At 38.3% G+C, this 15,375-nt stretch overlaps 1 protein-coding gene across 17 annotated transcripts in view; it reads right to left on the reverse strand.

The window, feature by feature from the left end:
• Window positions 6,027-15,375, reverse strand: part of CLHC1 (clathrin heavy chain linker domain containing 1) — a 60,017-nt gene continuing 50,668 nt past the window's right edge. For 14 of the 17 annotated variants that reach the window (NR_148543.2, NR_148541.2, NR_148540.2 and 11 more), the window contains 4 exons: window positions 15,050-15,224; window positions 13,990-14,192; window positions 11,082-11,261; window positions 6,027-9,466 (listed from right to left, as the gene is read on the reverse strand). Coding sequence is in view for 11 of the 17 variants with exons in the window: in NM_001135598.2 (NP_001129070.1) it covers window positions 9,270-9,466; window positions 11,082-11,261; window positions 13,990-14,192; window positions 15,050-15,224 (755 nt within the window). In the remaining 6 variants the exon portion in view is untranslated. The remainder of the gene's footprint in view (window positions 9,467-11,081; window positions 11,262-13,989; window positions 14,193-15,049; window positions 15,225-15,375) is intronic. The other 3 variants (NR_148542.2, NR_148538.2, NR_148539.2) reach the window with 2 other exon arrangements.

Here is a 15,375-nt window from a genome sequence, read left to right on the forward strand (position 1 = left end):
GGTCATGTTTTCAATCCTATCATCTCTGTAGCTTTCTGTAATAAAGCTTGGTTTGAATGTCAGTCAGTTTAATAGCTATGCCAATTTCTCACCTAATAGAGCCAAGTCTTTATCATCCTCTTTGACAAATGGCACAAGTGGATGCAATAACAAGTCACATTCTAAAGCCACTGAGGGCACTTTGGTTCCCACCCTTCCAGGCAAGCATTTCCACAGCCTGGGCTCCTAACTGAAGATACAAAGGGATCAAGGGAAGAAGAAAGGTTAAACCTAGGAACACGGAAGCCAATGTGCCCCCAGAGAACGGAAGAGGCGGTCTGCGAGTTCAGAAGGCAGGCAGCTCATGCTTGAAGGTGATAGCCTTCTGCCTACAAGAGAAATCTGAGCACATCAGTTACTTCTGTCTTACCAAGAATCCCTGAGATACTGAGATTTCTGAGTTGAAAGTGAGATAAGGCCTGTTTTGTTTTGTTTGTTTGTTTCCATGTACATAGCTCAAGATGTTTTCTTGGCCGGGTGCAGTGGCTCACTCCTGTAATCCCAGCACTTTGGGAGGCCGAGGCGGGTGGATCATGAGGTCAGGAGATTGAGACCATCCTGGCCAACATGGTGAAACCCCACCTTTACTAAAAATACAAAAATTAGCAGGGTGCGGTGGCACGTGCCTGTAATTCCAGCTACTCAAGAGGCTGAGGCAGGAGAATCGCTTGAACCAGGGAGTCGGAGGTTGTGTGAGCCCAGATGGCGCCACTGCACTCCAGCCTGGTGACAGAGTGAGACTCCATCTCAAAAAAAAAAAAAAAAAAAAAAAAGATGCTTTCTGGATCTGCAATGATAAGTAGTGATTTATGTTGGAGAAAGAAATAAGGGAGGTCCAGGCCCTTACTTTACTATCTCTGACCCTGTTTACAGAAGATCCACCCAGTAACTATGACATTTAACTGTGGAGTGGTAGAGTTTTTATACTCATGAGGAAAACTCACACTAGTGGCGCCAAACCACTGGGCGTGGCCTAACACAATTTCTGATAGCCAGGGGAGCTGGGGTTGGGGAGGGTGATTACTGGCATCTAGTGTCCTGCATCCACAAGGCCACAGGACAACCTCACATAACAAAGAATTATCCCGTCCAAACTGTCAGTAGTGCTGAGGTTGAGAAACCCTGACTTACAAATAATTCTCTGTCCTCCTAAATGTATTCACCTACTCAGGAATCATCAGGCCTTGTTTCTCCTCCTCTAGACACTCAGCTGACCTGGGAAAATTACAAGCTGCTTGACCAACAAGCTCATTATCTTGTTTTTGATGGAGACAGAGCTGAGGAACAAAGACAACAAATAAAACCCCAACTGTGGGGTGAAAGAAGACTTAACCTTGGCTCATAGGCTCCCTTCAAAAGCTAAGTGGTATGTGGAGATCCGTGAGCTGGCAGTTCTGGTCAGAAAATAACAAAGTCTCAGAATTGCTTCCTAGGCTAGGGTCTCTCCGGAGGCACACACAGACGCCTCTTGCCTTCACCTCTGCACTAATCTCATTGCCCCACTTTGAATCAAGGCTTGAAGACTGTGCAAGCAGAATAACCAGGCACTCTCTTCAGTTAGTTCTGAAACCATCTCAATGATTTTGGGAGAATACACTCCCCACAATCTGGCAACAAGTTGTCTGGCTTGGGTTATTTCTAAGTCTACATTTCTTAGTTTCCTGAAGAATACACTGAGCATGCCAAAAGGTTTCAAAGCTACAGTTACGGCATCAGCAACAACTCTTCAACTAGCCTGTGCTTCAGCCCAAAGCAGCACAAACAGAAAAGTCAGCCAAGCCACGAGGGGCCTGGTCAAGCGTCTAACAGTGTAGGATTGCTGCATAAAGAGCAGGATCCTACTACAATACATCCTTTGAAGTGCCTCGAAAATAAATGCTATGTTTAGAAAACAAAGTCCTCTCTCCAGGCCTGGACTCACCCCACTCACCCCACCCTCATCCCTATTTCACTGAAAAGCTAAATATGAAAAAGTGCTTGGATGTTTACATATTTTCATATAGAGTAAATTTTCCTTAAAGGGCCATCTTCTTAAGAATACAAATCCTCCAAGAATGGTCCTTGAGCTGCTCAAGCTTTCCAACCAGAAAATATGACTATATTGAAAAATACGACTAGAAACAATAGGACCAGCCTCACTTCTTCCCCATAAAAACAATTCCAATCACTGAAGGTCTTGCTGGCATCTCTGCCGCCATCTACTGAGTCAAACTGGCACATATTCTAGTAAATCCTAACCAAGAAAGGTCATTGTTCTGTTATGTTTCCATTTTAACTCTTACCATGTTGTATTACAATTGTTTGTATATAACTTTACTTCTAGATTGCAAGTACCCATGAGATACATAGGATGTCTTATTCCTCTCTTAGTAGCTAATCAGGAAATGGTTGTTGGATTAAGTAATTTTGAGTGTTGCACAGGGCTTCTCCAAAAAAGATCATCTCAAGAATTTTCTTTAGGACTCCTCTAAAACCCAGAAACTACCATAATTATATCAAACAGAAGAGAGCAACTAGTTTATTTTTTAAGGCTTTCAGAGTAGCTCCTTCTACAACTTTCTTTATTGACCCAATACCAGCCTTCACAATCTCCACCATCAGCAAATTATTCTGTCTCAAATAAAAATGGTTTATTATTTAGTTCTATGGCTCATGTGGCTTAGAGTTTGTTGTATCCTTAAGGTGAGGGCTTTTGGACACTCAAAGGCAGAACTGTGATTATATGTTTGTTTTTTTCTTCCCAAATTGAATAACCCCATTCCTTCAACTTTTCTTTCTACATCTTCACGATCTATACATGCTCAAAATTAGTAACAGTTTTCTTAATGTGAAGCCTCAAACTAGTTTCGATGCTCTATTTAGCATTTAAGCAAAGATGATTTCAACAAGTGTTTGTGGTGCCTGCTATTATCCCTATCAATGGGACACTTTGCATTAGGCAAACCTAACATTTACCAGGCAGATAAATTAGGAGTTGGTGATTCATCTCACAGAGCATTCCCAGGAAAATTTCTTCAAAATAACCATTTCAGTCCTGTTTCATTTAGAAAACATTCATTTTATAAGCAATTTTTCATGGATTACAAATCACAGAATGAGAGTAGCTGTAATCTTATTGATGTCTAATTTATGTGTCACTTGGGTTTAAGATATGCACCTTTTTCTGGTATCTGCTACTGGTGTTATGAGCTCTTCAAGACCTCTTGTTCCTTAGGGAAAGAGTCAGCATGAAAATCATCTCTTAGAAAATATTATCATGTTCATTTGACACCTGAAAAAGCATACCCAGAGGGTAGAAGAAACTTGGAGACTGTTTATACACACAAATAGCATAAAGGACTTTTTTCCATCTCTAGGGGACCAACCTGGGCAAAGGAATAGAAGGAATAGCCTTGGCAATTATTCTCCCTGTCCCTGCACCCTCAAGAAAACAGGGAGAGTCACATTCTCGGATGCCAAGATTAATACCTATGTTTGGTTTCTTGGCAAGCAGGCTCTCTGCACTGCAATCTGGAAGGCCACTGGAATCTCTCTGCCAATGTTTTTCGCATTCTCATTATTGATCCTAGTAGCAGCACAAACCTGTTTCTGGATGTTGTGTTCAGAAGCTGATCAACATTAAGTACTCACCTCAAGGAGGCTGGCCAAAAACAGCCTGCAGACTTTTCAAGCTGACTTTTCAAACTGTTTGCTCTTTGGGTTGGTCAGGGCCTGCAATCAAAACTCATCATCATTAATTCATAAACGCCTAACTCTTTAAGCAATTTGGCAAAAATCTTTTGACAATTCAGTCCCACTGCTGGGGGCTGCTTCCAAAATGTACATTACCAAAGTGTGTGAGCAGGCTGGACATGGTGGCTCACGCCTGTAATCCCAGCACTTTGGGAGGCCAAGGCGGGCAGATCACCTGAGGTCAGGAGTTTGAGACCAGTCTGGCCAACATGGTGAAACCCCATCTCTACTAAAAATACAAAAATTAGCCAGGCGTGGTGGGGGGCGCCTGTAATCTCAGCTACTTGGGAGGCTGAGGCAGGATAATCACTTGAACCCAGAAGGTGGAGGTTGCAGTGAGCCAAGATCGCACCACTGCCCTCCAGCCTGAGTGACAGAGGAAGACTCCGTCTCAAACAACAACAATAACAACAATATAGTCAAAATGTGTGAGCAGTATGAGGCGAAGGAAGAGTTCCAGGAGAAAATGGATGGGAATGTGTTGTCACACATTCTGATCTGTGTACAACCAAAGTGGTAGAAGGGTGACATGCCCTTCCTGTTAAGCACAAACCCACCTAAAGCTCACTCTATTTATGATAGTATTTTTATTATCTGACCTAATAAAACAAGATAACAGAATTTAACCCATACAACTGTTCCTTGAGTGGAAAAGATGGATCCTTCTCAGTGTGGCCCTAACACATTAATACACATGAAAGCTTAAAGGTAGAGTTTGCACCCAGTGGAGAGCTAAAAATGCTTGGTGGTGATTATTGCTGCAGTTTGATATATGACATGATAATGGAGACCCCCCACAGCCACAGTGGAATTTCCACTAAAGAGCTAACTGGATAGAGGCAAGGATCCATGTAGGCAAATCTTCAAAATGTAATTTTATAGCCTCTATTTTAAAACTGCAATACTGCTTCTTAACCAAGCTTATGGCATACAGTTGGGGAAGAATACTATAGATTAATTCTTTAGAGTGGGGTCGGGGGAAGTCAAAATTACTTAAGGACTCCGTACCTTTTCCTCTTTCTACACACAAATTACATCAGTGTTATCTTCCATGTTCCTCTGCATTAGAAATCAAAATGGCCTCCATACTGGATTGGCTTCCACATAGTAGCTCTACCCTTTATCCTCCCTTGTGTTACATCAGTAAATTGGGTAGTCCGCAGTAGGCTTTTCCAAATGAGAAAATATGGTAATTCTTTTTTTTTTTTTTTTTTTTTTTTTTAGTCGGAGTCTCACTCTGTCACGCAGGCTGCAGTGCAGTGGCACAATCTCAGCTCACTGCAAGCTCCACCTCCCGGGTTCACACCATTCTCCTGCCTCAGCCTCCCGAACAGCTGGGACTACAGGCGCCCGCCACCATGCCCGGCTAATTTTTTGTATTTTTAGTAGAGATGGGGTTTCACCGTGTTAGCCAGGATGGTCTCGATCTCCTGACCTCACGATCCACCTGCCTCGGCCTCCCAAAGTGCTGGGATTCAGGCGTGAGCCACTGCGCCTGGCACCAAATAAGAAAATATGGTAATTCTTTACTATCTTTATCCACTCAAAAAGCTTCATTTAAAGTTGATGGAGGCCAGGAATGATGACTCATGCCTGTAATCCCAGCACTTTGAGAGGCCAAAGCTGATGGATCACTTGAGGTCAGGAGTTTGAGACCAGCCTGGCCAACATGGTGAAAACCCATTTGTACTAAAAATACAAAAATTATCTGGGTGTGGTGGCGGGCACCTGTAATCCCAGCTACTCAGGAGGCTGAGGCAGGAGAATCGCTTGAACTCAGGAGGTGGAAGTTGTAGTGAGCTGAGATTGTGTCACTGTACTCCAGCCTGGGTGACAGAGCAAGACTGTCTCAATAAATAAATAAAAAAAAATAAAGTTGATGGAAACAAGAAATCAAATTTAGCCTCAGTTTAGGACAGAGGTTTCAAATTAGTGACCTGCAGGTCAAGTCTGGTCTGCAGATGTGTTTTGTTTGGCCCACACAGTACTGCTCACATCAAATCTGCATGTCCAGCTTCCAAGAAGGTAACACCGAGTCCACAGCCCTGCATAATAAAAGTTGCCTGGAATTTATCACAATTGTCCCTTTCAAAAAGTCCCCAGATCCTCCTTTCCCTGACTGTGATACATTTCACTCATTTACAGTAGTGCCAAAACCTCTATAGGTAGACGCAGATCCTCAAGGTAGGGAGGGTACTTGTAGAAAATTATCAATTAAAAAAAAAAACTAAAAAAACTATATAAATAATAGTGTCTTTTTTATGTACCCAATATATTTTTATTCAAGAACACAACAAATTATAACTACTAGCAAACTGACAGCTTTATACACCGAACATTTGTTAAATGCCATTTTTTTCTGAGAAAGAATGGAAGAAATGTATGAGCTTTCTATGAAATGTACAAAGTTAAAAAAAAAAAAAAAGGCCTCTGCTATGATTTTTGACTTAACATATGCTTTAGCAATCCAACAGAATTCCAGGCACCTAAAAAGTAACAGGTTTTCACCTTTTAAAGTTAAAAAAGTGATTAATTTAATGGTCATTTCTTAGTTAATTCAGGATTTAGGAAAAGTTCTAAATATTAAAAAAATTTTTTTCATTAGACTAGACTTCTGTTCAACATCTCTAAACCTTTCCAAATGAATGAATTTAATAGAAATTCATTTTGATACATGCTTGACTATAATAAACAAAAATGTAACTAGTTACAATTAAATCTTTCAGACCTTGGAAGAAATATCTTCCTTTCCTCACTGGTATGGTAGAAAGAAAACCTAATATGAAATCAGAGAAACTTAGTTCATCATGACCCTTGCTTTGCAACTGCTATGTAAAGCAATCAATGGCAAGAGGAAAAAAGGAGAGAAGACACGCTCAAGACAGCAAGACCTAATAGAACACATGAACGTTGGTTAAATCTTCATTGGAACAATTCAAATGTTAAAAGGCATTTTTAGCAACTGGTGAAATTTGAATATGGACTGGCTATTAGATAATGCTAAGGAATTATTATTAGTAACTTTTAAAATACGTTGTGTGTTTCCATTAAGGTTGTAATCTTGCTAGCAGAAATTGTGTGCAAAACAGGTATTCGGTAGATGTTGTTGATGCTGATGTTGAATTGTAGTATTTGAAATTTAGGCTGAAGGTCAAGAAGCATTGGGAAATAATTTGTACCTTTTCAGAATTACTGAATTTTAGAGTTGGAAATGACAAGAGGAGGTATCTAGTCAAAATAAATTTATCTTAAGCATGAGGAAAAGGACACATAGCTAGACAGTGGTGGGGCTGGTCTAGAATGCAGGTTTCTGTGCTGAGGCCCAGATTATACCTCCTTCAGTGTAGCTTACATGGAGGCTCTTATAGCTTCAAAGCCCTCTGTAGCTCACAACTCAATTCTTTCTCCTTCCTCATTTAACTTTGTAATCTTGCTCTTCCTCCCAACTCCATTTTCCATCACCAGGCATTTTAATTTATATTCACTTGACAACTTTTACTTTCCTTGGGAAAGCTGCCAAAGGCAATGCTAACTGAGAAGGAGTAATAATGAGAAAAGGAAAAACAAGGCAAAATTAGAATAACAACAACAACCGCTGTTTAAGCTTTCTCTAGATTTATATACCTACTTTATCCTCCTGGCTTTCATGAAGACATTTTTTTTTCTAAGCTCTGTCAATGGACACATAATAGCTTTCTATCAATCATATAGGTCTCAAAGGAAAAAAAAAAAAAAAAAGGTTTTAAGCCGTTGGCACACAAAGAACCAGTGCTGCCGAAATACCTCTCCCTTTCCATTCCTTTTTTCCATCCTTTATCTGCTCTTTTCAACAGCCTGTATGAAGGCCAAAAATCAAAATATTATTTTGATAAGGCTTTTAGTAATAAATTGCTTTTTAAACTATGCACATGTATTACTTTAAAAATGCTACGTTTTAGAAAGCTGAATTATAATTATCCAGTATTCTATTTAGCACCAAATGGAAAAATTAAAAACTCAGCTTGAATGCTTCTGAATTTATAAGATAAGCCAGGCAACCCTAATACAAGTGTGGACAGATAACTTAATCTCAGCAATAAGTTGTACCAATATATCAAATACTTTAAAGAAGGATAAACATATAAATACAAATGAGTAGACATATGGGATTTAGTAAGTACAAACTAAGTAGAGAAATGTGTGTTTCTGGGGCCGATTACAAAGGAATTACAGCTATCTTTTCCTAAGTTCCTCTATCATGTTATACACTTACACTACACATACATTATCACTAATCCTCACAACAAGCCTAAGGAAGACTGCCCATATTTTATAAGTGAGTAAGAGGTAGGACCAGAATTTTAATATGAAGCTGTCTGACTCCCCGTTCATCTTCTTTCCACTATAACATAAAAATACATATTCAATTTAAATTTAGGATGGGAAAAGTTATGCTCTTTGCTCTTATTCTAATAGCAGATCATTTTCATTTTTTACTTGAAATTTTTTTTTCTTTTTTTAATAACAGAGACGGGATCTCACTGTGTTACCTAGCTGGTCTCAAACTCCTGGGCTCAAGCGATCCTCCTGCCTCGACCTCCCAAAGTGCTGGGATTACAGACATGAGCTACCTTGCCCAGCCAGCAGCTCATTTTAACCATGTTCCATGGTCAAGGATGACATTTAGCTAGTAAGCTCTGGTGTGGCATAAGGGCTAAAGGCTGTTCTGATTAATTAGGTATCTGTTCTGCTTGATTTGTGCCCATGCCATACTAATCATTAAATATTTTTAATATTACACCTGTCCATGGCACAGAACTTTCAGAGTTTTCAATCAAATACTTATTCAGACACTTGAAATAATCCAAAACCACTTCTTATGACATATTTTCCATACCTATAGGTATCACAGGTCTACTTCTATGCAAAATTCGACTGGTCTTCTCTCTAAGTAATAACATGCCAAGAGTCCCAGCTTTTATACTAGAAGCCTAAGCTTTGCCATATTTATATATATCAAAGCATGGGGCGCATCTTTAAATCAGCAGTACAAAATTACTATACTCTAGGTTTTTGCCAGCAAGTCCAACCTTGAAATGATTTCCTGCTTTTCTGGTCAAGTCAGGCTTGTAGCATTTCATGTTTGGGAAGACAGTCTAACACACAGGATACTACCCACACCTTCCTCAGTTCTTGCTATCATATTACATCACCAGAAAGTAATATATCTGGACATTAGCTTATGTCCTTAGATAAAAATGCCCTACACTGTTTCACACAAAGTTATAATCTTGGATTTTATCAAGATTCAATATAAGAAATGACCATATGGGGAAAAGGAAGCAATAGTATAAATATTTCAAAGACAAATCTAAATGTCATCATAACAAAAGTGTGATTTATTTCTGAGATCTTCTTACTCTAGATTTATTTATAAGTTAGTTACGTTAAAATCAGTTTTTCCCAACCAGCATACATAAGGTGTTGTACAAGCTCCCTCAGCTGGTTAAGATATAGAACTACCAAAACACATGTTCCATTAGGTTGACTGCGTCATCCTCTTCAGAAATTTCTGTAACTGCAGCCTGAGATCGAAGAATAGACGTGATGTCATTAGATAATTTGTCAAAGCCATTCTGTGAACATATATTTGCCACTTCTTGCCACTTTTCTATGGAGCAAAAGGAATCATTTATCATAAGACTTTCTACTGCATCTGTGGGGAAAAAATACAATATTATAGTATGGCACTTATTTGATAATCTATACTTTAGTGATTCTTCAAAAATAGAAAAGGACATAATTTCAACTCAGTTACTGTTAAACTCTACCTGATTCCCCTAAGATTAATGATATAACATGCAGTGCTCAGTCAAGCTCATGGTAAGTACTCGTGTTAGTTCCTTCTCCTCCTCCCTTATCATTAACCTCTTCATGTCTCAATTCAACCCTCTACCACTTCTCACATTTCACATCTCCACTCATCTCCTTCTTGTTAAGGCAGCAGATGTTGAAGGCTATAAGGCAGGAGCTCAGAAAGTGATGAATGTGGGCTCATCCTTATTCACAGAGTCTATAAGGCACCACTAGAAACTATGAAATAACTGTAAACCTATAGGTCAAGTTTTCATGATTTCAAACACTTATATAAATGCCTTAGTGGAGCTAACCCAAGGACTGAAGAAACTCTTTGACAAACTCTTTATCCTGTCTCTAGCTGGAGAACTCTTAATGATGGGGCTTCTATAACAAATATTTTTCTTAAGGAAATAAAATCATTTTGTTTGTTAAAGAAATTTAATATTATTTACTTTTAAAAATATCTTAGTGATCTATCAATTTATGGAACTCATTTCTTATCTATTACCTGCATTACTTATGGTACTTCATAAAAGAGGATCACTTTTTAGAATACTGTCATCACTATAATTTTATTTCTACCATAATTATTATTTTTATATGAAAATATTTTAGTTGATATCTGTAATGATAATTTCAAAATATAAAGTTATCTTCCAAAATATGTTTTCAAGTAATTTAAAATGAAGTTGTCTGTTCAACTTCCTATATTAAATTAATGAAAAGAAAATAAAAGTGAGTTTTAATTATTCTCTCTCTCATTTTTTTTGAGGCAGTGTCTCACCCAGGCTGGAGTGCAGTGGCACAGTCACGGCTCACTGTAGCCTTGAGCTCCCTGGGCTCAGGCGATCCTTCCACCTCATCCTCTCAAGTAGCTGGGACTACAGGTGCATGCCACATGTGGCTAATTTTGGTATCTTTTTCATAGAGACACGGTTTTGCCATGTTGCCCTGGCTGGTCTTGAACTCCTGAGCTCAAGCGATCCACCCGCCTCAGCCCCCCAAAGTGCTGGGATTACAGGGGTGAGCCACTGCACCCAGCCTAATTAGTTATTCTCTAATTCACAGCAGAGTTAGGTTCAGAGTGAATAACATATGTAAATACACATACATTTGGTTTAGGAATTAAAACATATAGTTTATATCTACATAACATTTAAAATACATATAAAAGCTAAATATACACATATGTCAATATATACAAAGTTTTTAGTGTTAGTGATCATAATTATTGTAATATTCCCCTCAAGCTTCATAAAGATACTCCCTTCATTCTAATTCTCTCAAGAAATATATCCTATTACCAATAGATTATTATTTACATGGCAATCTTTACATTTATAAACTCCTAAAGTTAACTCTTGCTAAGAAGGAACTCTTAGGGAAATTTGAGTTAACTCATGCATAACCATCTTGAACCTCTCCCTAGATAACCCACTACTATTTCTCCCACAACATTTTATTCTACTTACCTATCCCACCTTTATTGATTTCTTGAAGTAGCTTAATGCCAACTTTTTTCATGTCTGCAGAGAACAGATGAAGTATAGCAAGACCAAAAGATAAAGATGGTTGTTTCTCATTCAACTCTTTAGTGAGACACTGAATTAATTCAACTTGGGGACATGACATTAATAGCTGCAACAGGTCATCTGAAGGCAAAAATGAAAAAGTTTATCTCAATGTCCTAATATCATAAATCAACTAGAAACTAGGACTAGCTAATGTCTATACCTGCCAATCAACAGTTTTTCTAATCCTTTCAAAGCCCTCAATGACCCACTCCAACCTAAACTCAACGGTACTATCCCCTAGCCCCCGTCAAAAAAAATCATGCTCAGCATAGCAAAAAACAAAGGAAAACTACCCATAAGAGTATCCAAAACATAATCAAATAATTATAATGAAAAAAATGTGGTATAATAAAAATACAGATTGGCTACTAGGAAACCTGAATTCTAATCATAGCTCCATCAGTCACTTACTCTTTTGGAACTCAGTTTTCACATCTGAAAAGTGTAGTATTAGAGGTCTCCATCTAATACTACAGTTTGTTTGTCTATATCTTGTTGCTCATATTTGGACCAAATTCTGGTGAGTATAATGTCTTTCTTTCTGTGCCTTGCACAGAAAAAGCAACTCAGTAATTTTTTTCCTAAAACTATCAAGCATTTAGAAATTCAAAAATGAAAACTTTAAGAAGCCAGTAGCTATTTCAAGTAGCCAGAGGTGGAACCATATGAAGTTTCCTATATTTGGCCACAAAAAGAACAATTCCATATGGGTTAATCTCTATTGGGTTAACCCAATAGTTAACCATTGAGGTAATCTAAAGCTACAATTATGATTTGTATTCTTAAATTTTTTCAAAACAAAGTCTCACTGTGTGGCCCAGGCTGGAGTGCATGGCTCACCATAGGCATAATGATTGTGTACTGTATCCTCAAACTCCTGGGCTCACGCAGTCTCCCGCCTCAGCCTTCCCAGTAGCTGAGATTACAGGCATGCCCCACTCTATACTCTCAAATTTATAAACTTGGTATTAACTTCCTAAATATTTTAAAGTAAAAATATTATTTTGCGGCCACAATAGAGGTAATTTTCAGAATAACTTCTGAGAGCCTTTCAAGGACTACCCGAAACATAATTTGAACTCTGAAAGCCTTGGGTTTTTAAAATGTATTTAATATATAGAGATGGGGTCCCACTATGTTGCTCCAGGCTACTCTTGAACTCCTCGTCTCCCTTTTTCTTACTACATTTCAAAATCCATTTTATTTTTTAAAAAATTATTATTATTATTATTATTATTATTATTGGATAAGGTCTCACTCTGATGCCCAGGCAGGAATGCAGTGCCACAATCACAGCTCACTGCAGCCTAGAACTCCTGGGCTCAAGCGATCTTCCCATCTCAGCCTCCTGAGTGGCTGGGACTACAGACCCATCCCTAAAATTTTTAAATTCTAAGAGTAATTAAAATCTATATCCCATGTCTAAACATTAACTAATATAATTCTTACATATGGAAAAATAATAGTTAACAACACAGAAACTGAAACTGTATACTTAGGTAATGGAATATTAATTAATACCTACTATGCCAGATTCTGTCCTGTCACTACATAACCAAATCACTTAGCTCTAGCTGTGCCTCAGCCTCTCTGTGGAAACATACTATTTTTGCATCTATAAAATGGGACAATAACAAAACCTACCTCATAGAGTCAACATAAGGATTAAGTGAGATAATCCATGAAAAAAAGCCTAGCTATTATTACAATAATAGTATAGGGCATGCTGTTATTAATGAAGAAATTTGTAACTTAAAAAAACAACAACATAGATTCTAAGAAAAAGTCAATTAATTGCTTGAAAATGACCAGATTCAACAACTACTAAAACTCCTTTTTCCTGGAATAATGTGACCTAAAAATGGCCATGTTTGGTTCCATTTTGCATCTTCTTAGAACTGGGATACATAGCCTGCAAATCAGGACAGGCACTGGCCTGGGGGATGGGGAGATGTCAGCAATGCCTGTACTTACAGTTATTGCCAAACTAGATCCAGAATAAGAGCTCTGCTCTTCCAACTAGGGTCACCCTAAGGTCCACAGTTCTCTCAGATTACCGTTCAATTGTAATCTCAGATTACTGTTCAATTGTGTTTTAAAATTTTGAAATAAATTAGAAATTCTTCATTTCTGATGCTTATATTACAGTTCAAAACATTATATATCACAGGCTGGGTGCGGTGGCTCACATCTGCAATCCCAGCACTTTGAGAGGCTGAGGCGGGCAGATCACAAGATCAGGAGATCAAGACCATCCTGGCTAACACGGTGAAACCCTGTCTCTACCAAAAATACAAAAAGTTAGCCGGGCGTAGTGGCGGGCACCTGTAGTCCCAGCTACTTGGGAGGCTGAGGCAGGAGAATGGTGTGAACCCAGGAGGCAGAGCTTGCAGTGAGCCAAGATCGCAGCACTGCACTCCAGCCTGGCAACAGAGTGAGACTCCATCTCAAAAAAAAATATATATATATATATCTCACAAATAAGTTATTTTTAAAAATCATATATGTAGTATGTTCTAGTATATCTGCTAAATCTATCTTTAAAACTGTATATTTCCAGGACTATCTGGCTTATTAAATGTTTGTATTTTGAGGAAATACATAATATTTTTGAATATCCAGCATGAAAGCCAATCAGCTCCAGCTTACTATGTTCATGAAAAATTACACAAGAAATCTCCTACTTATTGGTATATATAAAATTGATTTTATAACGTAAGTTTAAAGTAGTGCTTGCTATTATGGGTAATCTTACAATTAAAGCCCAGAATTCAAATGTATACAAATGGCAGACTTTTTAACTTACCGGTAGTAAAGTCCTTCAACTGCTGTATGTACTCCATGACCCTATGAGTCTGACCCTGTTTACACAAGCAAAGAATAGCTTTCTTGTGCAGGCCACATTCACTGTAGACAATCTGAGCTAAAGCCAGGCACTTGGCCTTGTTATAAGTATCCTGCTCCCCATAATCACAAATCACATCCCCAGCCTCCTCAGAAAATGTCAGTCTAGAACAAGCAGATCAATAAGACATATGTTAGAAAATTCCTGATGAGTGGCTGAGACTGAAATATTTGAAAATTCAGCACAGTAGGACTGGATTTTCTACTACCTGTAAGAATTCCAAGTTACAATTTAATAGGCAATTGATTATGTAATTGAAATGATTACTTGTCAATTTCTATCACCCCGATAATAGTCAATATGAAAATAAAGTTATTTGGAATGTAGTGGTGTATTTGCTAAGAAAATTAGATTTCTACAGGAAACTAAATGCATATATATATATATTTTTAGATTGAGTCTCGCTCTGTCACCCAGGCTGGAGTGCAGTGGCGCGATCTCGTCTCACTGAAACCTCTGCCTCCCTGGTTCACACGATTCTCCTGCCTCAGCTTCCTGAGTAGCAGGGACTACAGCCGTGCGCCACCATGCCTGGCTAATTTTTGTATTTTTAGTAGAGATGGGGTTTCACCATGTTGGCTAGGCTGGTCTTGAACTCCTGACCTCAAGTCATCTGCCCACCTCGGACTCCCAAAATGCTGGGATTACAGGTGTGAGCTGCTGCACCTGGCCACCACGTCTGGCTAATTTTTGTATTTTCAGTAGAGACAGGGTTTCACCATGTTGGCCAAGATGGTCTTGAATTCCTGACCTCAAGCGATCCTCCCACCTCTACCTCCCAAAGTGTTGGGATTAGAGGCATGAGCCACCACACCCGACCACTAAACACTTTCTGATTAATTGCAATAGGGACCTGAAGTAAATGTTCAAGTAACATATTGATAAAGCTATTAATATTTTTAGAACAAACAACTTTATTAACGAAATGTCAAAATTAAGTTAAAAGCTTAACTTTGCTTACCTTTCCTGTGTAACCCAATTGGTAACTAAATCTAACCGTTTTTCTGATAATCCACATTTGATTCCTTCCAGGGTTAGAGCTGCATCAACAGGACATGGAAAAGCATGACTTGTGATAAAGAGGGCCTCAAAAAATAAGAGTAATGGAAGAGGCTTTCCTCTAATTTTTCCAACAGCTACAGAAAGGAGAAAATTTTCTGAGTCAAATACTTTAAGAAATAGTTTGCTTTTTCTTATCTCATATTACTATTTTTGTGCCTTTGCTTTTCTAAAACTTTAACAATCTAAAATTACACATTTATAATTTTTAACTCATGCTTATAGATT

This window comes from Homo sapiens, chromosome 2, assembly GCF_000001405.40.
Source record: "Homo sapiens chromosome 2, GRCh38.p14 Primary Assembly".
Taxonomy (NCBI): Eukaryota; Metazoa; Chordata; class Mammalia; order Primates; family Hominidae; genus Homo; species Homo sapiens.